Source organism: Homo sapiens, chromosome 6 (assembly GCF_000001405.40).
Source record: "Homo sapiens chromosome 6, GRCh38.p14 Primary Assembly".
Lineage (NCBI taxonomy): Eukaryota > Metazoa > Chordata > Mammalia > Primates > Hominidae > Homo > Homo sapiens.
The window spans coordinates 88,499,969-88,510,420 of NC_000006.12; the positions used below are offsets into that span (position 1 = coordinate 88,499,969).

The window sequence follows — 10,452 nt, forward strand, 5'->3', positions numbered from 1 at the left end:
ATTGGTAAGCCCATCCCAGACTCGGTCCCCTGAATACATGCCTTGCTTAAGGCCACAATTACAACTTAAAACACACCACTCTCACTTCCTGCCTGAGAGCTTGACCGTAGATTCACAGCCGTGGACTCCTCTAGCAATAATTATCAGAAGAAGCTACTTTTTCTCATTTGTCAGTGAGTCAATACTTGTCAGTACAACCATCATAGAAGTAGCAGAAGTCCTCTTCCTAAAATCATCTTTGCCATGAAGGAAAATGCATGCGTGGATGGAATCCATCCTTTTAATTGTTCAGAGATGATTTGCATGAGTGAACCACCCCAACTGCTCCTTTTAGCATTGAACATTCAGATCATGTTTGCAGTCACTGAAACAACACCACACAGGCCTGATGAGAGATCAGACAACCAGTATAATCTCTGAAGCTAGCAGAAGTTATCTGTGACCCTAACGAGCAGAACCTGTGTGAAGGAGGGAGCCCACCTCCAGGTTCATCTGCCTTCATGCTTCTCATTAAATCTGAAACCACAGTCACTTCCTGAAAAACTCCTGAGTCCAGGTGGTTCTCACTAAACCGCCAGCCACTGCTAATGATTGTTCCCTTTGCTGGCATATAGCACAAGGCACGGTGTGGACAGTGGCAAGGGGATGTGGGTGTGGAGAAAGGGGTCAAGTTTGGGAGGCATTCCCCCTGCTTCTTCTCAAAAGCCCTGGACCCCTGAACCTCTCTCATCAGAGAATTCATTCAACTCACGTTGCCTAAGAGCACAAAGGCAAATGAGGCACCGTCACTCCACATGTATCTGGCTTTTTCACTTGTTTGTTTGTTGTGCTACCTTGTCAGCTAAAAAATGTTGGTGGAGGCCAGGCACAGTGGCTCACACCTGTAATCCCAGCACTTTGGGAGGCCAAGGCGGGAGGATCACTTAAGTCCAGGAGTTTGAGACCAGCCTGGGCAACTTAGCAAGACCCTGTCTCCACAAAATAAATAAATAAATAAATAAATAAATACAAATAAAAAAATTAGTCAGGTGGGTGTGGTGATACACCCCTCTAGTCCCAGCCACTGAGGAGGCTGAGGCAGGAGGATCACTTGAGCCCAGGAGGTTGAGGCTGCAGTGAGCCAAGATCATCACACCACTGTACTGTAGCCTGGGTAACAGTGAGACCCCATATCTAAAAATAAAAGAAAAAGAAAGAAAGAAAGAAAGAAAAAGAAAAATTTGATGGAGACTTCTGGTTTACAGTCGTAGACTAGACACACATATTTGTCTGCCATCCCTCTTGAGAGAGCCTCTCTCCACCAAAATATAAACATGCCAAAGCCTCCCCAACAAACCCAGAGACCACCAGCAAGGTTTTGTATTAGACTCGCAGAGCAAAGGAGGGAACCACATCACAGAGGCTACTTACAGAGGAGAGCTCGGTGCCTTAGGGTGGAAGTTGGAAGGTATGATCTAAGCAGGGATTGGTCAGAATTTAGAAATTAGGCAGTTGCTGGAACCATCAGTGGTCTTAGGTGAGTCCGCAGGGGTTTACTATTAATACAGTAACTATAAACACATGAGTTTGAGCTTACATGACCTTACCTGTCACGGGTTTGGTGCAGTTCAGCTGTTTTGCAAGACATAGTACTACCATTTATTGCCAATAGTGTCTTCTGTTTTTCAAATACAAAGAGAAATAAATCCATAATGGGAGAGAACAGAAATGCAGAGCCTCGGCGAATGAGAAACTGCAGCAAATTTCTGGAAAACAAAATACAAATGACAGTGGTTTAATAGATGAAATAGGTATAAAATGGACAATCTAGACTATCTTGTGAGAGATTTGTGAGGAGGGGCCACCTTTGTGTGTGACTAGACGTCTGACAGTAAGAACTACTGTGTCGTGGAGTGCTGCCTGGGCCCACACTCTGGACTGCGTGCTTTTCTTATTTAATAGCATTTAATCCTTGAAATGACTTCAGGCAGTAGATATTACTATTCATAGTTTACAGATTAAGAATTGGAGACTCAGAAAAATTCAATAATTGCCTACTTTTTCACAGGTAGCAAGAATCAGAGCCTGGGTTCAATTCATATCTCTGGTTCACTATCATATTCCTAGTATTTGGTTCAGTACCTGGCACATGACCAACACCACCTCAGCCCCACCCCACACATACACACGGAGTGGTGGGTAGATGGAAGATTGGATGGGTACATGGCTGGATGAATGGAGGGATGATTGGACCAACCCGAACCCAAATGACACCAAAACCACACCACCATACTGCCTCCCCAGGGTTCTAAAATACCATGTAAGGCAGGCTACAAATGATTTCTACAGATATTGGTTAAAGCCAGAGGGGGGCAGAGACTATGGATCTCAGAAAGCAAAATCCAGCCTTAGTGTGAGGAACTGGTGGGCAACAGAGATGTTGGACACCAGAAATTGTGGTCAGACAAGAGAATGTTAGGAAACCAGACCAAAGAGTCAGAGCAAAAAGCCAAAAATTAAGAGCAGTCCTAAGTGGCAGTCATGGGGCACCATCCCCGCACAGAAACAGAGCCTGCTATTACCCTGTGCTTGGATTGAGCCAAAAGGCCAAGAAGCAGTGAAGTGTGATGTGGAGCCAGAAGCTCGGAAAGCCAGGTGCTTTCTATATTTATTCATGTATTTATACCCTGTCTGGTTCCAAGAAGAACAAAAGGCACCTTTACAAGGACACAGAAAGTACAAGGTAACATAAATAAGAGCTAAGTGAGAAAGGATAAGGCAAGTAATAAAAACTGGGTCAGAAGAAGCCAGAAATAATACAAACACGCATATCTTCAAATCCTGTGCACTGGTGTATTAGTCCGTTTACACACTGCTATAAAGAACTTCCCTGAGACTGGGTAATTTGTAAAGGAAAGAGGTTTAATTGACTCACACAGTTCAGCATGGCTGGGGAGGCCTCAAGAAAATTACAATCGTGGCAGAAGGGGAAGCAGGCGCCTTCTTCACAAGGTGGCAGGAGAGGGAGGGAGTGAAGAGGGAAAAGCCCCTTATAAAACCATCAGATCTCCTGAGAACCCACTCACTATCACCAAACTGCCTCCATGATCCAATCACCTCCCTCCCTCAACTCGAGGGGATTACAATTCGAGATGAAATTTGGGTGGAGACACAGAGCCAAGCCATATCAACTGGCTATGAGAGAAACATGCATCTGCCTGTAATCTTTCTAAAGGTCAGTATCACACACACACACACACACACACACACACACACACACACACACTCTACCTGATGAGTCACAAAATCCACCTTCCCTGTGACACAGAAACAAATCAATTGCTCAAGAGAAGCAGAGTTCTTCTGATACTAAAACCAGACAAGAGACTATCCCTTGGTTCTTCATTATAAAAACACTCTGGGCACCCTCAGAAACATCCTTGTGAAAATTCTCTCCACAAGCGGCTCACCATCCCAGGCCTGGCTCTGGTCTCAGGCATACAGTTCTTTCCTGACTGGAGGAGCAGAACAAGGCAAAAACCCAGGCCATGCAGACAGGTGGTACTGAGGACAGCCAAGATCACTTTCCCCTGTGAGGGGCCAAGTCTCTCCTGTCCATATGACTAAATCAGCTTTTTCCAATTACCCTGGTGCGTTTTGACTGCCAACAGTTACAAGGAGAGGAGGTGAGAAAAATAAGAAAAGGACAAAAACCATAAGAAAGAGATGGAGTGTTCATTTATTAGCAGGTGGGGCATGTCAGCAGAGAATGGGATTAATGCCCTTATGAAAGAGTCTTCAGAGAGCTGTCCGGCCCTTTGACTCCTTTTTCTATGTATGCACATAGCATTCCTTCCCTCTACCAGGTAAGGATGTAACAACAGGCACCATGTTGGAAGCAGAGAGCAAGCCCTTACCAGATGCCAAATCTGCCAACACCAACCTCTAGAACTGTAAAAATTAATTCTGTTATTTATAAATTTTCTGGCCTAAGGTATTTTGTTATAGCAGCAGGAGCAGTGTAATATACCACCAAGGGCAGGCAGCATCTTTATCTTTGCATCCACCATCGATTATCAAAATGCCTTGCACCTAGTAACATTCAATTATTGTTCATTTCAAATCTTCTGTGATTTTCAATGATCTGTTATGATTCAAGAAATGTGACATCTGATATTTATTCAATTTTCATCATCAAAATCTAGATTTTTATAAATCTCATCCTGAAACATCTATAGTGAGGATGTCAAAGATAATGCATGGGTAATAGGAAGCTAGTCCTGTGGTAATGGTCACAGCATGAACCATAAGTCTCTGGGTATCATGGATACTTTTTGTAAGGTCTGACTCAGAACATTAAGAACCATTTCTTAGAGAAAATGCAGGAGCTATACTTAAAATCTTTGGGGAAAAGAGAAACAATGGCTCTTAAGCATTGAAACAAGTTTCTCAGTACTTTTCTTGAGGAAACTCAGAGATCCTCATTTGATTTCAGTTTTAATCTATTTCTGGATCCATGTAGAAAACCAAATTTGCTAATAAGGAGAATTATCATCATGTTATTTTTAATCTTTTGGCAGTAAAATTTTCCTGACTAATTAATTATTTCCAGCTCAACTAGGCCTTCCACCTAAGACTCTCCAGCGCCCTGCTCTGTCAGCTTCTCTTTACTCTGTTTCACCTCAAAACCCAGGGAGCAGAAAGAAAGCTATAGGGTCCCTTCAGCTATGAAATTCTTCTCAGAGAGAAGGTGTAAAGCCTGAAGCTAAGGCGAACTCCTAGAGGGCATGGAGTAACTTACCACTTATGTATTATATTACCATATATATATATATATGGTATAATGTAGCAGATATGTTACAAACCCAACAATATGATATCACAGTTATTGTTTTAAGAAATAACATTTTTTTAAATTAAGAGATGAAAAGAGGAAAAAAATATACTTCCAGTCTTTTATATTTACCCACATATTTAACATTGTTGGTGTTCTTCATTTTTTCCTATGGACTTGAATTACCATCTGGTGGAATTTCATTTCAGCCTAACTAACTTTCTGACTTTCTTCAGTATTTTTTGTAGGGCACATATTCTAAAAACATATTCTTTTATTTTTTGTTTATCTGGGAATGTATTTGATATCTTGAAAACAAAATACAAATGAGAGTGGTTGATGGATGAAACAGGTAGAAAATGGACAACCTAGAACATCCTGTGAGAGAGTTGTAAGGAGAGGCCACCTTTGTATGTGACCAGACATCTAACAGTAAGAACTACTGTGTCATGGAGTGCAACCTGGGCACACATGTTATGTCATCTTGATTTTTGAGAGGTAGTTTTGCTTGATATAGAACTTCTAGTTGACAGTTTTTTTTTTCTTTCAGCACTTTGAATATATCATTGCCTTCTGGTCTCCATTTTTTTCCAATGAAAACTCAATTCTAATGCTTTTCATTTTGTATTCTTGTGCTCTTCCTGTTCTAATCTTTGCATTTTCAGATACATGCATCTTGTTTCCATAGTTTCTTCTCATTAGTAGAGAAAAACTTATTTGGTCCACATATAGGATAAATATAGTGTTATTTACTTTCAGATTTTGGAAAGGTTTCTGGTATCACTGTTGTTGTTGCTTATTTAACTTTTGCTCTGTTTGTATGACTTCATAAGGTGAGTGACTGAGTCCAGGTTTATTCTCCTCTAAAGTCATGACTTCTTGCCCTGATGCTACGTCAAGTCTATGAACCATCCAGTTTAACTAAAATGGGAATGAGACAGAGCTGAAGCACTGAGGACCTGCAGAACCCAGACAATCAGGTGGCATTAGGAGGGTCCAGAAAAAGGTGAAAAGATGAATGACAGATAGGTAGGCCCATCATCAGTGGTCCCTGGGGCAGGCAACATTCAGAAACATGAGCAGAAAGATAATCAGCATGAAAGATGCCTATGATCAGGTTAGCAACTGATATGGTTTGAGTTTGTCACCACCAAAGCTCATGTTGAAATCTGATCCCTAATGTGGTGGTACTGATAAGTGGAGCCTAATGGGAAGTGTTTGGGTTATAGGGGCAGATCCCTCCTGAATGGCCTGGTAGTGCACACCAATTTTTGTGGTAGTTAGTTCTTGCTCTGGTGAGACTGGATTTGTTCTTTTGGGAATGAGTCAGCACCCAAAGAGTGGATTGTTATAAAGCTGTGGTGCCCCTCTGGTTTGCCTCTTTGCATGTGCCCACTTCCCCTTTGACCTTACGCCATGTTTTGATGCAGCATGAATGCCCTCACCAGAAGCTAAGCAGTTGCTGGTGCCATGTTTCTTGAACTCACCAGCCTGCAGAACCATAATCTAAATAAACCCCTTTTCTTTATAAACTACCTAGTCTCAGGTACTCTATTATAGCAACACAAAACATTAAGACACCCAGCTAAGTACCTGGGATCAAAGCAGAATTCTAGTGTGACACAGTGGAAAGGCCCTTGCCCTTGGTATGAGGAAAGCATGGCTTCCTCCTGCTTATGTGATCTTAAGCAAGTTATTGACCTCTCTGAGCCTTATTTTCTTACTTATAAAATAGGGCTAATAATGACTATTGTTGCAGGGCTAGAATTATATATAAGGACTAGAATTGTAAGGACTAGAATTATATATAAAATATGTGGTGCACTACGTGGGACATGGGACATAGGAGTTATTTAATAAATGGTAACTGCTTATATTATTATAAATGCAGGAGCTGATCATTTAAGCACAGCCTCACTCCTAAATAATCTGTCAAAGCATAGATGCAGGTACTGGATGAACAAGGTAGATTCAGTTATTAGTTATTACTCAGAACCAAGATAAGATTCCATTTGCCTGCATGGGAACAAAGATCAGAGCTGGAGTGTGTTTAGAAGTCACCTAAATATTGTACTAGAATTCCTCATATTCCCATTTGAAGCATCTGATGACTCTGATACCAAAGGAGCATCATTTAAGTTTGTGAAGTTCTTTTTCCACAATGCAGTCAATGAGTTAACACTGTTCTAGTTCCCTTGGCTCAGTAACAAATTACTCCAAAACATACAGGCTTAAAACAATGACAATGACATTTGCTTTGCTTGCAAATCTTTAATTTAGGAAGGGCTTAGCAGCATGGCTGGTCTGTGCACCACTCAGTTTCAGCTAAGGTGAAGGCTAGGACTGCAATCAACTGTGAGAGACTCCTTCACCCACATGATGCTGGCTGCTAGCTGAGACTTTCAGGACTGTCGGCTAGAACACCTAACTCACGGCCTCTCCATGTGACCTGGTCCTGACCCTGGACCTTGTCATATTATGACTGTCTAAGAATGAATAGTGAGAGAAAGAATCACTGGGAGGAAGCATAAAGTCCTATCCATGAAGGGGGAGCATCAACATTACAATTTTAAAAGAGCATATTGGCTGAGATATAGCAATAGGGCCATCTTTCTATTTATTCTATTTATCATTCACTTCTAGGCAAAATAAATTCGCCACTCAGCTTTTAAAAAAACTTTTTCAGGCTGGATGTGGTGGCTCCCACCTGTAATCCCAGCACTTTGGGAGGCCAAGTCAGGCAGATCACCTGAGGTCAGGAGTTCATGACCAGCCTGGCCAACATGGTGAAACCCTGTCTCTACTAAAAATACAAAAATTTGCTGGGCATGGTGGTAGACGCTTGTAATCCCAGCTACTTGGGAGACTGAGGCAGGAGAATTGCTTGAACCTGGGGTGCGGAGGTTCCAGTGAGCCAAGATAGCTCACACCATTGCACTCCAGCCTGAGCAGCAAGAGTGAAACTCCATCCCAAAAAAAAACAAAAAAAAATCAGACATGTATAAAAAAGTAATCAAAAATAAATAAAGTTAATTTAGAAGAGTAATTTGATCTAAATGAAAAGTCATGATCCACAGTGACATGCAATGCACTTTTTGCCCCCACATGTGTTAAATCATTGTTTTCAGAAACTATTTTCTTAAAATAATTACTAATTTTTGAGTAAATGCTGATGCTTCTTCATTAGATTTATGTCTTCTCTTTTTTTTGTGGTCAATTATACTACAACAGTCTCCTTTGGTGGATGATACATTTCAACAAATATTTATGCAAGTTATTCATTCCTCACCCTTTCTTGAGAAAAAAAATTTAGTACTCAATATTTCATGAAACATGAACTTTTGTTTTTGGCCTAATTGCCAACAAGAGTTTATTACAAAATTAACAAACAATCCCAAGCAACAAAATAAACTGATGTATACCTACAATGAAATATTATTCAGTCTTTTAAAAGGAAAGAAATTATTACACATGCTAAAACGTGGATGAACCTATGCTAAGTGAAATAAGCCAGTCACAAAAGGACAAGTTTTTTTTTATTATTATACTTTAAGTTTTAGGGTACATGTGCACAACGTGCAGGTTTGTTACATATGTATACATGTGCCATGTTGGTGTGCTGCACCCATTAACTCGTCATTTAACATTAGGTATATCTCCTAATGCTATCCCTCCCCACTCCCCCCACCCCACAACAGTCCCCAGAGTGTGATGTTCCCCTTCCTGTGTCCATGTGTTCTCATTGTTCAATTCCCACCTATGAGTGAGAACATGCGGTGTTTGGTTTTTTGTCCTTGCGATAGTTTGCTGAGAATGATGGTTTCCAGCTTCATCCATGTCCCTACAAAAGACATGAACTCATCATTTTTTATGGCTGCATAGTATTCCATGGTGTATATGTGCCACATTTTCTTAATCCAGTCTATCATTGTTGGACTTTTGGGTTGGTTCCAAGTCTTTGCTATTGTGAATAGTGCTGCAATAAACATACAGGTGCATGTGTCTTTATAGCAGCATGTTTTATAATCGTTTGGGTATACACCCAGCAATGGGATCTCTGGGTCAAATGGTATTTCTAGTTCTAGATCCCTGAGGAATCGCCACACTGACTTCCACAATGGTTGAACTAGTTTACAGTCCCACCAACAGTGTAAAAGTGTTCCTATTTCTCCACATCCTCTCCAGCACCTGTTGTTTCCTGACTTTTTAATGATCACCATTCTAACTGGTGTGAGATGGTATCTCACTGTGGTTTTGATTTGCATTTCTCTGATGGCCAGTGATGATGAGCATTTTTTCATGTGTCTTTTGGCTGCATAAATGCAAAAGGACAAATATTGTGTGATTCTATTTCTATGAGGTACCTGGATCTATAGTTAAATTCATAGGGGAAGAATGTAGAATGATGGTTATCAGGAGCTTGGAGAGTTAGTGTTTAATGGGCACAGAGCTTCATTTTGGGAAGATAAAAAGTTCCAGAGATCAATGGTGGAGATGGTTGCAGAATAATGTGGTTATACTTAATGCCACAAACTGTACACTTAGAAATAATTAAAATGGCAAATTTTATGTATATTTTGCCACAATAAAAATGTAAAAATACTGATCATATTTATTTTACATATTAAATGACAAACCATTGTTTAAAAAATTCAGGATATTCTATGAGCTCTATTGAAGAACTGTTCTGCTCCCATATCTTGTACATATTTCTATTGTTATATATAACCTATAATTTCTCAATTTCTCCACTGACCCCACCAACAAGCAGCCTGGTGGCTTCATGAAAATGGTTCATATAAGCAGCTAGCTGCTACACCAAGTCTCCAGTAGGAGCTGGTAGCAACATCGAATACTTCTCCCACTGTCATTTGAACTAGAAAAAAGTAGCTATCTATAGAGTCTGGGTACAAGTTGTTTCACTGGAGAGTATGTCCTCTTCCTGCATGCTGCATGCAAGAGATGTGTGAGTTACTTTTCACCAGGTAAGGGGAGGTGGGGAGAAAAAGGTTATCGCTGGTCATCTCTCAGACTGAACACGTGTTAAAGTGAGAATTCTGTTCACTACGCATGCACCTTACCCACTACTAGACAAGACCATGACAGAGACCAAGAAGTACTTCATGGAGATGGTACCAAATCCAGCCCAGATTATTTTAATGCAACTATTAACAATAATACTGTCCTTAAAAATGAAAACATTTGGGAGAAATATTAAATAAAAGGGAAACATTAAGGCAATAGCATAAAACAAGACTGCCTTGGATATACCGGGACTTGTGGTCACCCTAAAATGGGAATAACAATTAAACATACCTTATTATAAGAGTCATTGTGAGAATTAAATAAGAGCATTGTGAAAGTACTTTGTAGAATCTAAAGTGTTACATAAATGTGTCTATATTGATCTATATATGCATTCTTGCCCACTAATTATTTCAAAAAGAATTTTACCATTATTTTGTAAATTCTTATAAAATATCTTGCTGTGATTTTTAATAGGCATTGCATTAAATCTATATATTAACATAGGGAGTACTGTCATGTTCACCATTTTTACTCTTTCAAATAAATAGTGTAGTATAGCTCCCTACTTACTCAAGTCTGCCTTTATTGTCCTCATTAGAGTGTTATAGAGT

At 40.2% G+C, this 10,452-nt stretch overlaps 1 annotated feature.

Moving 5' to 3' along the window:
* Positions 364-453: an enhancer, noted in NCBI's record as "active region_24815". NCBI's record gives its function as "activates an Ori minimal core promoter by ATAC-STARR-seq in GM12878 lymphoblastoid cells {active_cell/tissue: GM12878}" and the evidence as "EXISTENCE:reporter gene assay evidence [ECO:0000049][PMID:35858748]".